The 16,432-nt window shown below is 37.9% G+C and overlaps 1 long non-coding RNA gene across 1 annotated transcript in view, besides 2 other annotated features; it reads right to left on the bottom strand.

The window, feature by feature from the left end:
• The window catches only part of LINC02328 (long intergenic non-protein coding RNA 2328), a 195,101-nt gene that overhangs the window by 45,580 nt on the left and 133,089 nt on the right, over window positions 1-16,432 (bottom strand). Inside the window, exon 2 of the long non-coding RNA NR_110155.1 lies at window positions 13,232-13,336. This is a non-coding gene — a long non-coding RNA (long intergenic non-protein coding RNA 2328). The remainder of the gene's footprint in view (window positions 1-13,231; window positions 13,337-16,432) is intronic.
• Window positions 3,344-3,982: an enhancer, noted in NCBI's record as "OCT4-NANOG-H3K27ac-H3K4me1 hESC enhancer chr14:86546561-86547199 (GRCh37/hg19 assembly coordinates)". NCBI's record gives its function as "activates a minimal SCP1, AML or CMV promoter by ChIP-STARR-seq in primed H9 embryonic stem cells {active_cell/tissue: H9 hESC(primed)}" and the evidence as "EXISTENCE:reporter gene assay evidence [ECO:0000049][PMID:30033119]".
• Window positions 3,983-4,622: an enhancer, noted in NCBI's record as "OCT4-NANOG-H3K27ac-H3K4me1 hESC enhancer chr14:86545921-86546560 (GRCh37/hg19 assembly coordinates)". NCBI's record gives its function as "activates a minimal SCP1, AML or CMV promoter by ChIP-STARR-seq in primed H9 embryonic stem cells {active_cell/tissue: H9 hESC(primed)}" and the evidence as "EXISTENCE:reporter gene assay evidence [ECO:0000049][PMID:30033119]".

Genomic DNA, 16,432 nt, shown 5'->3' with positions numbered 1-16,432 from the left:
AAATAACATATGTTTGACTATGAAATAATGTTTGAAGGAAAAGTAAGAAATTTACTGATAGTTTTCTAGAAATACCATTGGAAAGCCTCTGATCCCAATTCTTTATTTTAAAAAATATTTAACAATCACCCAGTTGTGAATTTCGGAGACTGTAACAGCAAATGTGTTCAATTATCCCACAAATGTTAGAGAACACAGAATCCAGGCACCTGGAATACTGATGCTTTTGCCTTCATGCTTCTTAAGCTTAAGGACCCCTTCTCTTTATGTCTTATCACCTCTCCCTTTCTCCTTTAAACCAGAAAGGAAGGGGCCCCCACAATGTGATTGACTCCAGGCCTTAAACCTACCTCAGGTTTGGCCCTGAATTGTGCCTTTGAAGGCTAAAGGAGGTCCAGATGAAAGAGAGACTGGCTGAAAAAGCCCACAGAAAAATGTATTACAGAGATTAACATGCCACAGCCTCTTCATCAAAGACTCTGGGCAAAAATCAACAGGCAACAGAGCCTGCATCCAGAAGTTGTAGAAGTAAAATGCAGAGAAAAAAGACATCTGGACAGAGGAGGGGTTGAAATAATTTCTGGATCTCTGTTCTCACTAAAGGATAGTTAGATAATGCAAAAGTATAAGAAAGTTAAGAAAAATATCAACTACAGTATATAAAGTTAATTATATACTGTAGTTGATATTGTTTTACATGGATATACGTATTGTACAGCATTTTGTTAAAGAACTATTTTTGGTATACCTATTATGCTTTAGGCACTGTTATTTGTTGAATAAATACCTTATTTCACCTTTATATTAGTATACTGAGGGTAGGTGATATTGGCCCATTTTATGAATGAGAAAACATGCTGTTAGAGGGAAATGGACTTGATCAACCTTAATTGTGAATGGAAAGAGCTGAGAAGGATTGATATGGTCTGACTCTGTGTCCCCACCCAAATCTCCTCTCAAATTATAATCCCCAGGTATTGAGGGAGGACCTTGGTGGGAGGTAATTGGATCATGGGGTGGTTTCTCCCACGCTGTTCTTGTGATAGTGAGGAAGTTTTCATGAGATCTGGTTGTTTAATAAGTGTCTAGTGCGTCCTCTTTCACATTCTCTTTCTCCTACCACCAAGTAAGACATGCCTTGCTTCCCCTTCACCTTCTGCTGTGATTGTAAGTTTCCTGAGGCCACTCCATCCATGCAGAACTGTAGGTCAATTAAACTTCTTTTTTTTTTTTTTTATAAATTACCCAGTCTCAGGTGGTATCTTTATAGGAGCATGAAGCATGAAAACAGACTAATACAAGGATTAGAGCTAAAACCGGATGACAGCAGATATTCAAGTTGAAGTCTGGTTCCAAAGTCTAGGATCTTTGCACTAAATCCCATTACTTTCCAAACTGTCCTAGAGTAAGCTGAAAATGCAAATTATAAGCGCATTCTTGAAAGAGACTCTAAAAACTATTTTTATATAAATGTGACGTTAAAATAATAGATCCATATATTTACTATGCATTAGAATCACCTGGCCAAAAATAAATGCAGATTCACTTGTCTACTTTCAGACAATCTTACTCAGTAGGTCTAGGGTGGTCTTTGGTTACACTAAGCACACCTGAAACTCTGGTGTTTCAATCATTGTTCTTCACTGAAAACAACTGAAGCTGATTTTGGCTGATGTAATCAGAAAGTAAACTTGTTGGAGGGTATGGTGATACATTTTGGATGTGTTTCCCCGCCCAAATCTCATATTGAATTGTAATCCCCAATGTTGGGTGTGGGGGCTGGTGAGAGGTGATTGGATTAATGGTTTAGGACCGTCCAGTTGCTGCTGTCCTCATGTCTTGCTCCTGCTCTGGCCACATAACCTGCCTGCTCCCTCTTTGCCTTCTGCCATAACTGTAAGTTACCTGAGGCCTCCCCAGAAACTGAGCAGATGCCAGTATCATGCTTCCTGTACAGGCTGCAGAACTGTGAGCCTATTAAACCTCTTTTCTTTAAAAATTAGCCAGTCTCAGGTATTTCTTTATAGCAATGCAAGAATGGCCTAATACATATGGTAAGGAGAATGGCCTCTCAGAGATGTCCAAATCTGAATCCCTGGAACCTGGGAATATGTTACTTTATGTAGATAAAACACCTTTCAGGTGTGATTAAATGAAGGGCCTTGAGAATGGGAGATTTTCCTGGATGACCTATGTGGACCCAATGTAATCACCAGGGTCCTTGTAAGTGAAGGAAGGCAGAGGAGTCTGAGTCGGTGCAGGAGATGTAATAGGAAGGAGAGGAAGTAAGAAGCCTGTGAGGATGAAAGTTCAGATCAGAACAATGTAATTTCAGACTCTGATGATAGAGGAGGGGACCAGGAAACCTCTAGAAGCTGGAAAAAGAAAGGAAAGAGATTCTCCCCTAAAGCTTCCAGAAGAAGCCCATTTTGGACTTTTGAACTCCAGAACTGTAAGATCATAAATGCATGTTGTTTAAGCCACTATACTTGAGATAATTTCTTCTAGCAGCAACAAGAAACTAATAAAGAAGTGAATTGCATTCATGTTTCTCTGCACTTTTAAAATACAGAGTCATATTTTTGGGTGTAGTATCTGTCTGCTGAGGGATGTGAGAAGAGCTCTTCATATTTCTTTACCAATTAGTGTGCCCCTCCCCTAGCTTATGTTTCCTTCTAATGCCTTTAGTACCAATGAACTTTGTCACAGGATTGCCCTTGGACTATCAGAGCAGAAGTTTATGCTGAGATTTTCAGTGTCCCAAACCCCTTCTAGATTCTAGACCCCAAGAAATACACTATACCATTCAGTAATGACGTCCTTATGAACATTCTCTTTTCCATGCAAATTTCCTCAGTTCCCCATTAGGCGTGATAACCACCCAATTACATCATACCACTTATATCAGATATTCAACTAATGTGTTTCAAATAAATGCATAAATTAATGAAAAAATGAATAGGAATATCCCCGGCATGACTAGCTCTTTTCATTTTGATTGGTATAAAATCATTCCAATAAACGCATATTATTCCAAGCAGAGTACTCTAAAAGAAATAAGACAATTCATCTCAGGAGTTTGTGTTTTTCTATTAATGGGGTGTGATAAGTGGGAATATACTTTGGATTGCTCTCTGGCACACTTACACTCATGAATAACATGCACTGAAGTTTCTTCTCAGCCAAAAGTTGCCCTGAGAGAAATTTCATCACTGATGAAATGACAATAGTTGTCCGGCTCCACAGTTAATTTGTAAATCATTCACAAAAGACCCATAAACTGTTAGTGTATCTAGCTTTTAATATGGCAATTGAGGAAACCACATCCATTTGAACAGAAACTGACAGAAAACCAAGAAAGAGCCTGACTTTCAAATTACACAGGCCAGCACAGGATAGAACCAAGCTTTTCTTGGCTTACTAGGAATGATTCAGCTTAATGACAAAAGAAAGTTAGACTGACTTTTAACTCGCCCATGTCTACCACACCATCTCTAATTTTGTTATTTTGCACTTTCAAAATAGATTTGTTTGAAGATATAGGAATATAGAACGGTTTATAAGCTAGTTGATTTCTTCTTATTTTAATTTAATGACAAATAATATCACTATTATTACTTATGAGAAAAACAATAAATTACTTACTTACAAATGAGGGTATCTTTATAAAACTGCAGTATTGACGAGCCAAGATGGCCAAATAGGAACAGCTCCGGTCTACAGCTCCTAGCGTGAGCGACGCAGACGACGGGTGATTTCTGCATTTCCATCTGAGGTACCGGGTTCATCTCACTAGGGAGTGCCAGATAGTGGGCGCAGGTCAGTGGGTGCACGCACCTTGCGCCAGCCAAAGGTGGGCGAGGCATTGCCTCACTCGGGAAGCACAAGGGGTCAGGGAGTTCCCTTTCCTAGTCAAAGAAAGGGGTGACAGACGGCACCTGGAAAATCCGGTCACTCCCACCCGAATACTGCGCTTTTCCGACGGGCTTAAAAAACGGCGCACTACGAGATTATATCCCACACCTGGCTAGGAGGGTCCTACGCCCACGGAGTCTCGCTGATTGCTAGCACAGCAGTCTGAGATCAAACTGCAAAGCGGCAGCGAGGCTGGGGGAGGGGCGCCCGCCATTGCCCAGGCTTGATTAGGTAAACAAAGCAGCCGGGAAGCTCCAACTGGGTGGAGCCCACCACAGCTCAAGGAGGCCTGCCTGCCTCTGTAGGCTCCAACTCTGGGGGCAGGGCACAGACAAACAAAAAGACAGCAGTAACCTCTGCAGACTTAAATGTCCCTGTCTGACAGCTTTGAAGACAGCAGTGGTTCTCCCAGTAAGCAGCTGGAGATCTGAGAACGGGCAGACTGCCTCCTCAAGTGGGTCCCTGACCCCTGACCCCCGAGCAGCCTAACTGGCAGGCACCCCCCAGCAGGGGCACACTGACACCTCACACTGCAGGGTACTCCAACAGACCTGCAGCTGAGGGTCTTGTCTGTTAGAAGGAAAACTAACAAACAGAAAGGACATCCACACCAAAAACCCATCTGTACATCACCATCATCAAAGACCAAAAGTAGATAAAACCACAAAGATGGGGAAAAAACAGAACAGAAAAACTGGAAACTCTAAAAAGCAGAGCACCTCTCCTTCTCCAAAGGAACGCAGTTCCTCAACAGCAACAGAACAAAGCTGGACGGAGAATGACTTTGACGAGCTGAGAGAAGAAGGCTTCAGATGATCAAATTACTCTGAGCTACGGGAGGACATTCAAACCAAAGGCAAAGAAGTTGAAAATTTTGAAAAAAATTTACAAGAATGTATAACTAGAATAACCAATACAGAGAAATGCTTAAAGGAGCTGATGGAGCTGAAAACCAAGGCTCGACAACTACGTGAAGAATGCAGAAGCCTCAGGAGCCGATGCGATCAACTGGAAGAAAGGATATCAGCGATGGAAGATGAAATGAATGAAATGAAGTGAGAAGGGAAGTTTAGAGAAAAAAGAATAAAAAGAAATGAGCAAAGCCTCCAAGAAACATGGGACTAAGTGAAAAGACCAAATCTACGTCTGATTGGTGTACCTGAAAGTGATGGGGAGAATGGAACCAAGTTGGAAAACACTCTGCAGGATATTATCCAGGAGAACTTCCCCAATCTAGCAAGGCAGGCCAACGTTCAGATTCAGGAAATACAGAGAACGCCACAAAGATACTCCTCAAGAAGAGCAATTCCAAGACAGATAATTGTCAGATTCACCAAAGTAGAAATGAAGGAAAAAATGTTAAGGGCAGCCACAGAGAAAGGTCGGGTTACCCTCAAAGGGAAGCCCATCAGACTAACAGCGGATCTCGCGGCAGAAACCCTACAAGCCAGAGGAGAGTGGGGGCCAATATTCAACATTCTTAAAGAAAAGAATTTTCAACCCAGAATTTCATATCCAGCCAAACTAAGCTTCATAAGTGAAGGAGAAATAAAATACGTTACAGACAAGCAAATGCTGAGAGATTTTGACACCACCAGGCCTGCCCTAAAAGAGCTCCTGAAGGAAGCGCTAAACATGAAAACGGACAACCGGCACCAGCCGCTGCAAAATCATGCCAAAATGTAAAGACCATCGAGACTAGGAAGAAACTGCATCAACTAACGAGCAAAATAACCAGCTAACATCATCATGACAGGATCAGATTCACACATAACAATATTAAATTTAAATGTAAATGGACTAAATGCTCCAATTAAAAGACACAGACTGGCAAATTGGATAAAGAGTCAAGACCCATCAGTGTGCTGTATTCAGGAAACCCATCTCACGTGCAGAGACACATAGGCTCAAAATAAAAGGATGGAGGAAGATCTACCAAGCAAATGGAAAACAAAAAAAGGCAGGGGTTGCAATCCTAGTCTCTGATAAAACAGACTTTAAACCAACAAAGATCAAAAGAGACAAAGAAGGCCATTACATAATGGTAAAGGGATCAATTCAACAAGAAGAGCTAACTATCCTAAATATATATGCACACAATACAGGAGCACCCAGATTGATAAAGCAAGTCCTGAGTGACCTACAAAGAGACTTAGACGCCCATACATTAATAATGGGAGACTTTAACACCCCAATGTCAACATTAGACAGATCAACGAGACAGAAAGTCAACAAGGATACTCAGGAATTGAACTCAGCTCTGCACCAAGTGGACCTAATAGACATCTACAGAACTCTCCACCCCAAATCAAGAGAATATACATTTTTTTCAGCACCACACCACACCTATTCCAAAACTGACCACATACTTGGAAGTAAAGCTCTCCTCAGCAAATGTAAAAGAACAAAAATTATAACAAACTATCTCTCAGACCACAGTGCAATCAAACTAGAACTCAGGATTAAGAAACTCACTCAAAACTGCTCAACTGCAAGGAAACTGAACAACCTGCTCCTGAATGACTACTGGGTACATAACAAAATGAAGGCAGAAATAAAGATGTTCTTTGAAACCTATGAGAACAAAGACACAGCATACCAGAATCTCTGGGATGCATTCAAAGCAGTGTGTAGAGGGAAATTTATAGCACTAAATGCCCACAAGAGAAAGCAGGAAAGATCCAAAATTGACACCATAACATCACAATTAAAAGAACTAGAAAAGCAAGAGCAAACACATTCAAAAGCTAGCAGAAGGCAAGAAATAACTAAAATCAGAGCAGAACTGAAGGAAATAGAGACACAAAAAACCCTTCAAAAAATTAATGAATCCAGGAGCTGACTTTTTGAAAGGATCAACAAAATAGATAGACTGCTAGCAAGACTAATAAAGAAAAAAAGAGAGAAGAATCAAATAGACGCAATTAAAAAATGATAAAGGGGATATCACCACCAATCCCACAGAAAGACAAACTACCATCAGAGAATACTACAAACACCTCTACGCAAATAAACTAGAAAATCTAGAAGAAATGGATAAATTCCTCGACACATACACCCTCCCAAGACTAAACCAGGAAGAAGTTGAATCTCTGAATAGACCAATAACAGGAGCTGAAATTGTGGCAATAATCAATGGCTTACCAACCAAAAAGAGTCCAGGACAAGATGGATTCACAGCCGAATTCTACCAGAGGTACAAGGAGGAACTGGTACCATTCCTTCTGAAACTATTCCAATCAACAGAAAAAGAGGGAATCCCCCCTAACTCATTTTATGAAGCCAGCATCATTCTGATACCAAAGCCAGGCAGAGACACAACCAAAAAAGAGAATTTTAGACCAATATCCTTGATGAACACTGATGCAAAAATCCTCAATAAAATACTGGCAAACTGAATCCAGCAGCACATCAAAAAGCTTATCCACCATGATCCAGTGGGCTCCATCCCTTGGATGCAAGGCTGGTTCAATATATGCAAATCAATAAATGTAATCCAGCATATAAACAGAACCAAAGACAAAAACCACATGATTTTTTCAATAGATGCAGAAAAAGCCTTTGACAAAATTCAACAACCCTTCATGCTAAAAACTCTCAATAAATTAGGTATTGATGGGATGTATTTCAAAATAATAAGAGCTATCTATGACAAACCCACAGCCAATATCATACTGAATGGGCAAAAACTGGAAGCATTCCCTTTGAAAACCGGCACAAGACAGGGATGCCCTCTCTCACCACTCCTATTCAACATAGTGTTGGAAGTTCTGGCCAGGGCAATCAGCCAGGAGAAGGAAATAAAGGGTATTCAATTAGGAAAAGAGGAAGTCAAATTGTCCCTGTTTGCAGACGACACGATTGTATATCTAGAAAACCCCATTGTCTCAGCCCAAAATCTCCTTAAGCTGATAAGCAACTTCAGCAAAGTCTCAGGATACAAAATCAATGTACAAACATCACAAGCATTCTTATACACCAACAACAGACAAACAGAGAGCCAAATCATGAGTGAACTCCCATTCACAATTGCTTCAAAGAGAATAAAATACCTAGGAATCCAACTTACAAGGGATGTGAAGGACCTCTTCAAGGAGAACTACAAACCACTGCTCAAGGAAATGAAAGAGGATACAAAGAAATGGAAGAACATTCCATGCTCATGGGTAGGAAGAATCAATATCGTGAAAATGACCATATTGCCCAAGGTAATTTACAGATTCAATGCCATCCCCATCAAGCTACCAATCACTTTCTTCACAGAATTGGAAAAAACTACTTTAAAATTCATATGGAACCAAAAAAGAGCCCACATCGCCAAGTCACTCCTAAGCCAAAAGAACAAAGCTAGAGGCATCACACTACCTGACTTCAAACTATACTACAATGCTACAGTAACCAAAACAGCATGGTACTGGTACCAAAACAGAGATATAGATCAATGGAACAGAACAGAGCTCTCAGAAATAACACCGCATATCTACAACTGTCTGATCTTTGACAAACCTGACAAAAACAAGCAATGGGGAAAGGATTCCCTATTTAATAAATGGTGCTGGGAAAACTGGCTAGCCATATGTAGAAAGCTGAAACTGGATCCCTTCCTTACACCTTATACAAAAATCAATTCAAGATGGATTAAAGACTTAAACCTTAGACCTAAAACCATAAAAACCCTAGAAGAAAACCTAGGCATTACCATTCAGGACATAGGCATGGGCAAGGACTTCATGTCTAAAACACCAAAAGCAATGGCAACAAAAGCCAAAATTGACAAATGGGATCTCATTAAACTAAAGAGCTTCTGCACAGCAAAAGAAACTACCATCAGAGTGAACAGGCAACCTACAAAATGGGAGAAAATTTTCGCAACCTACTCATCTGACAAAGGGCTAATATCCAGAATCTACAATGAACTCAAACACATTTACAAGAAAAAAACAAACAACCCCATTAAAAAGTGGGCAAAGGACATGAACAGACACTTCTCAAAAGAAGACATTTATGCAGCCAAAAAACACATGAAAAAATGCTCACCATCACTGGCCATCAGAGAAATGAAAATCAAAACCACAATGAGATACCATCTCACACCAGTTAGAATGGCAATCATTAAAAAGTCAGGAAACAACAGGTGCTGGAGAGGATGTGGAGAAATAGGAACACTTTTACACGGTTGGTGGGACTGTAAACTAGTTCAACCATTGTGGAAGTCAGTGTGTCGATTCCTCAGGGTTCTAGAACTAGAAATACCATTTGACCCAGCCATCCCATTACTGGGTATATACCCAAAGGACTATAAATCATGCTGCTATAAAGACACATGCACACGTATGTTTATTGCAGCATTATTCACAATAGCAAAGACTTGGAACCAACCCAAATGTCCAACAATGATAGACTGGATTAAGAAAATGTGGCACATATACACCATGGAATACTATGCAGCCATAAAAAATGATGAGCTCATGTCCTTTGTAGGGACATGGATGAAATTGGAAATCATCATTCTCAGTAAACTATCGCAAGGACAAAAAACCAAACACCGCATATTCTCACTCATAGGGGGGAATTGAACAATGAGATCACATGGACACAGGAAGGGGAACATCACACTCTGGGGACTGTTGTGGGGTGGGGGGAGGGAGGAGGGATAGCATTGCGAGATATACCTAATGCTAGATGACGAGTTAGTGGGTGCAGCGCACCAGCATGGCACATGTATACATATGTAACTAACCTGCACAATGTGCACATGTACCCTAAAACTTAAAGTATAATAATAAAACAAAAACAATAACAAAAAAATAAATAAAACTGCAGTATTTATCATTTTGGGTTGCAGTAAAACAAATCAACAAAGGAAATAGAATGAAATAAAACAACTTGTTTAAAGAGATTTAAATTTAAGATAAAGGGGGCATTTTAAATAATTTAAGAAATTATTTCTTAGTCAACAATTGGTGGAAAATTACTGCCATAAGTGAAGAATAAAAAATTGAGTTAGAACACTACTCCATGTTACACACTGCGATACACACTAATGGTTTAAAGAACAGACAACTAAACAAACCACTGTTAAAGACAAATATCAAATAAAATTCTGAGTAGCTTTGAATTATGAAAACTCTACCTAAAAAGAGCCCAAACCAAAAGCTATATATCAACAGATTTGACTATGTCAAAATTTAAAACTTCATTATGATAAAGTCAACTATCAAAAAATTAAGATACAAATTATGGCTTGAAGCCAAAATTGGTACCATATTTAATAAACAAAGATTTATTATCCAGAATACATAGTATTCTCATATATAACTTGGAAAATGAAATGTACTAAATGGAAAATGAGTCTAAGATTTAATTAGTCAATTCACAGTAGAATAAATACAAGTGAAAAAAATGAAAGTAGTTCACCTTTATTCATAATCAGGGAAATATACACTAAAAACACAATGAGGTATCTCATTACAGAGATAAACAATTGGAAGAGTTGGAAAATGATGTGGGGAAACAGAACCTCTAATATTGATGGAGAATACATTAGTAAACATTTCACTGAGCCTATTTGGTAATATACACCAATAATTTAAATGGTTCTATCTTTAAATCCAGAAGCTCCATTTCAACAATTCTATTCTTAATAAATATTTACACATGTGCACAATCCTATGAATATATAAGAAGGTTTATTGTGATATTGTCTCATCATTCTGAAATATTGGAAATGACCCAATTGTCCTTCAAAAGGGGAACTGTATGTTATGTATCCATAGAATAGTCACAATATGGAATATGATGCAGGTATTAAAAAAAGTATGAATTGACATTAAAACGTCTCCAGAACATTTTTGTTGTATATCAAACCGAGTGTCCTAACACACATATTATGATCCTATTTATGTCTAAAAAATAAATTTTTTGTGTAAATTGTACACATGTAAATGCATAGGAAGAATGTTGATCAGTGGATATCTCTTGGGAGGAGATTGTATAAGGAAAAGAAAATGGAGAAGATTCCATATTTATGACTTTCAATATAGTTTGAATATTTTATAATGCAAAATATATGTATTTTACTATAAAAAGACAAAAATAAATCTATTTTAAAGAACATTTCCACATTTTGAAGCCAGGACCAAAACTCTGCTTTGAAGTGAAAATACTGAAATTTTTAATAACTTAAATACCCTTTGGTTCATACCATTTTTCCTTGCCAGGAAGCAGTAGCATGGCTGTGATCATTAAGTAAATTATGTAAATTAAATATATGATACAAAATATATAATAAAGACAACATTTTTAACATGATTGCTACTAATGTCTTATAGTCTAATTTGCAACACATAGTGTTTCACTTGAAACCATTCCAAGATTCCATGACTATATTAAATTTAATTGCAACTTTAAACTTTTGAAAGTGAGAAGAGTAATCCCTTGATTGTTCCTATTTCCCCTCTGTACTAGGTTTTTAAATTCTTGATCAATTGTGTTAGACACCACCTTGGGTTTGTCCTCCCCTTCCTCAGCAAAGCAATCCAGTAATGAGACTAAATTTAGGAGCATTTCCTTTCATTCTAGCCTTCCTTGGTTTGGTTTCACATCAGTGGGCCCATTATGCACTCCAACGGCCCTGTAAATAACTTCTTGCTTTGCTTTGGAGTTATTTGACTCTCCTGCATTTAGCCATCCTTCTAGGCTAATTCAAAGCATATCTAAGTTAAAATTCAACCTTAAAAAATAAAGCACTTAAATGGACATCTCAGGATTAAAGAAAAACATCACTAAGTTGACTTTGCATATAATGTTTCTATGATTGCAGAAGCAGAAGGAAGAATTTCATTAAGACCCAGTGCGAGTAACAACAAAATAAAATGATTGTGGTGAGCCTCAGCCCAACGGCGACATCCAGGAAACTGACAGAGCTGAGGCAGCTCCTAGGATGTCAACGCAAAGGTTGACAGAGCCTGCCAAGGAACCAGATGCTGATGTCAGACAGAGACAGGAAAAATGGACCACAGTTTGTTATCTGTTTCCTGTGATTAGAATCAGCATCAACCCTCACTCTCTTTTTCAGATTAATTAATAAAGTCTGGTGTGAAGAATTTCAATAAAATATTTGTTCAAAAGGGAGAAAAGAAACATCTGCTTTAGAATTGTTTTCCCCTTTAGTCAGAGTCTGTAAAATGTGTGTACGTTGGTTTTTTTCTGTGCCTACATTTGGTGGACATTAAAACAATGTTTAAGCACAGTAAAATGTAGTAGTGTTTACCTCCGATTTTAGAAGATACTTTTCTCAATATTGGTGCCAGTGTCAACATTTAATATATGTTTTTTACCTTTTCCTCCTCTCTCTCTCCCCCCCTTTCTTTCTCTTTCTTTCTTCCTTTCTTCCTTGCTTTCTTCCTTCCTTCCTTCCTTCCTTTCCTTCCTCTCTGTCTCTCTTTCTCTCTTTCTCTCTCTCCCTTTCTTCCTTCCTTCCTTCCTTCCTTCCTTCCTTCCTTCCTTCCTTCTACTACTACAACAACAAAGCACATCTTTCTGTCTTGGATGTTTTCTTTAAGAAGTAAAACTGGCCGGGCGCGGTGGCTCACGCCTGTAATCCCAGCACTTTGGGAGACTGAGGCAGGCGGATCACGAGCTCAGGAAATCAAGACCATCCTGGCTAACACGGTGACACCCCGTCTCTACTAAAAATACGAAAACTTAGCCGGGCATGGTGGCGGGTGCCTGTAGTCCCAGCTACTCAGGAGGCTGAGGCAGGAGAATGGCGTGAACCCGGAAGGCGGAGCTTGCAGTGAGCAGAGTGTCCAGCCTGGGCGACAGAGCGAGACTGTCTCAAAATAATAATAATAATAATAATAATAATAATAATAATAATAATAATTAGAAATAAAACTCTATATTAAGACCAATCACACCTTTCATGGCACCAAGCTCAAATGAAACCATGATAAACTGTGAAAACCAGAGGTGTCTGTGACCTAAAACAATTTTTTAACCTCTTAAATGCAAGGGCTATGTGAAGAATGCGGGTTTTCTTTTCCCCCCAACCTCTTGCATGACAGTCACTCGTCGATTAGAAAAAACACAGCATGGCCAAAGGCAAGTACAAATTGTAATCAAGTTTATAGTTTGTAAATTAAAAACGTATTACATAATAGAAAAGTTTCCTCTTTTCTATAGAAACATGATGAAAACAACACATACTTGAATAGTGATTTACAGTCTAGCTGTACATGTGTACATGTATACTACCTTATTTAGTCTTTATAACAAAATTGAGAGATGCAGAAACTGGATATCGTAGACTTACCCAAAGGCAAACAGCAAAAAAGTCATGGAACTCAACTTCTGGATTTGCTTTTCCAATTCCAGGACTCTTACAGTTACACTACCAAAGCTTCAGAAAAAAAAGCACCTATTAGAGAAAAAAAAAATATGAAAGCTGTATACAAATATTGGTACAACTTTTCAAAATGCTGGGTCAAATACAGTTCTTTCTCAAGGAAGAAGAATTAGATGAATAGACAAACACACATTATTCCAACCGGGAGTTTCATTATCTCCTTTTTCCCCATGTGTTTTAAAGGATGTGTCAGACTGCATTAGGATTATTTAAACAAGGATGTGCCATTTGAGTCACTAATATTAGATTACTTTGTCATCCATCATCTCATAGGTTTTACAATCCTATTTTCATAAAAAGAGAGTAACCGATGCGCTCAAGTTCAGTTAGGAGTAGCAGAGCCAGTACACAATTAAGGCATTCTTTATCTGAGTCCATTCACTGACTATCTCTTCCTCTATCTTAGCTATCTCTATTTATCTCTAGTCATCTACTTATCTAGCAAAATATAATTCACTGCAATATCCTTTTCTGGGAAAATTATATGCACCTTCTTCCATCACCTCTATGAGGGTGCACACAGACAATACCTCCATGACACAGTCTAGAGGGGTGGCCTCTGAAGACGTCTTACCTGTGGCGTTTTAAGATGGATGCCTGTGCTTTCTTAGTCAATAGTCAAAGACAGAAAAATAAACCAATTATGTATGAAATTGAGAATACCAATTATTTACTATTAACGTATACATAAATTTAGTTTATTTTAAAGGAAAGGTCATCATATACTTTTCTGAGAAAGGAGCACTCTCTCCAGATAGTTAAAATATTTAGAAGCATGATTTCTCAGTGAGAGTATTATTTATGGTTTGAAGATCTGCCCTGGAGCCATTTTGAAATCTGCTTATCAATCTTTTAAACCCAACTGAAATCTTCTGTCTGCTTCTTGTGAGATTCGGTAGAACAATTAAGGAACTTGTAGAACATTTTTTCCTAATCTCAAGTCATGCTCCTTAAAGTTTAAGTGGAGAGGGCTCTATAGATGAAGAAGCTTCAGGATAGACTATTCCACATCTAAATTAAAATCAGAGAGGGCTAGAAGATTTCTTTCACAGCTGTTGAAGATAAGGCTAAGAAACTATATCTAGTGCCTAAGACAGAACCACATCCACCATGAATGATAACAGAATTTACCTGAAAATTTAAAGGTTGGGGACCAATGTGTAACCACTAGAATTACTTTTTTTTTAATCTAGTGGTTTATTTACATAAATTATTTTGTTAAGTAAATTATGAAATGTGTAAAGCATAAAACTATAAGGTGCTCTTTAATTTTAATGACATTATAATAAATTTAAAGATATCTTAAATTTACCCTATTTGAGTAAGATATAAGACGAGATTCATCAACTGATGACAAATACATAGTTGTATTTACAACTGGCAACACATATTCAGGCACTTTGAAAATTTCTGGCCATATATGCTATGTACACTATGAACATGGAATCCAAGTGACAAAACTGGGGCAAATATGACACTTCAATCAGCTGATAATGCAATATTGATATTTCACAAGTAGCTCAGTGACTTTGCATAGCATTTAGTTTCAATAACCAGGTTTGATATTTAACTGAAGGATTTCATTTTTTCTTTAACATTGGCTTTTTTGAATATTTATTTTAATCTTACTTCTCTGTTACTGTATCTTTCTTAGTCTGCTCAAGACTCCATGGACTGGGTGGCAGGTTAGAAGCTAGAAATCCGGTGCCAGCATTGTTGGTTTCTTGCCAGAAATGCCTTCTTGCTATGTTCTCACATGGCAAAGAGAGAAAGAGACAGCAAGCACTCTGTCACCTTTTTTATGAAGGCCACCAATCCCATCGTTGGAGATTGAGGACATTAATCTCTACTCTCATGACCTCATTTAAATCTAATAGTCTCCCAAAGACCCCATCTTCAAATACCATGACATTGGGGGTTAGGGGTGGTTACAGACTGCAGGTTTATGTCCTCTCAAAAGTCATATGTAGAAACCTAATTACCAATGTGACGGTATTTGGAGGTGGGTTCTTTGAGAAATGATGAGATCTGGAAGACAGAACATTCATGAATGGGATTAGTACTCTTACGAAAGGGATTCCCGAAAAGTCCCTCACTCCTTCTGCCATGTGAGGACACAGGGGAAAGACAATCATTTATGGAAAACAAAATGGGCCCTCACCAGACATTGAATCTGCTGGCACCTTGATATTGTATTTCCCAGCCTCCAGAACTATCATAAATAAATTTCTGTTGCTTATAAGCCAGCTAATCTATGATATTTTGCTATAGCAGCCTGAGCTGTCTAAGATAGATCTCAATATATGCATTTTGGAGAGACACAATTCAGTCCATAGCATTTCATCCTGGACTCCAAAATTCATGTCCTATGTCATTCTCATATCCAAAATACATCCTTTTCATTCCAGTAGTCTTTTAAACATATGTTAACAATTCTGACCATTTATAGGAATGATTTTATGATATGTGGTCATAAAATATTATACTAAAAATCATGATTAAATATATGGAATTAATTTCTATTTTTCCACTTAAATACAAAAATATACAGAATTATTCACATATTTTAAATAATTTGAAATCAGTAGAAATGTGTTTAGCATCCTTACCTATGATAAGATTAAGAAGCTGATGAGCATGAGCAAACATAACATCTTGGATATTAAAGAGGTGAACTGGTAATATGATTATGCCAATGCTAGACATATTTAGTTCACATATGTTTACAACTAAAACAATATTGGAAACAACCTAAATATAAAATAATTGGGCTTTATACTTTCCTAGGAATATCTATTACGATTATCAAACTATACTTCTGCAGAATTTTAATTATTTAAAATCAAGCACAATATGCGGCGTTATGTCTTTACATGTTTGAACACAGAACACATGTTGTAATTTTACATGTGTGTATGTGATCTACTTAAGAATAACTGTTTTTTAAATTTAGTACCGTTAACCTTCAGCAACATTGGAGTGAGGGGCACTAACTCCGTAAGCAATTAAAAACCTGTGTATAAATCTTGACTCCCCCAAAACTTAACTACTAATAACCCACTGTTGACTGGCAGCCTTACTGATAACATAAACAGTCAATTAACACAT

Source organism: Homo sapiens, chromosome 14 (assembly GCF_000001405.40).
Source record: "Homo sapiens chromosome 14, GRCh38.p14 Primary Assembly".
Classification (NCBI taxonomy): domain Eukaryota; kingdom Metazoa; phylum Chordata; class Mammalia; order Primates; family Hominidae; genus Homo; species Homo sapiens.
Note: the sequence above shows the minus strand (reverse complement) of the source record. Positions and strands in the feature narration are given on the sequence as shown.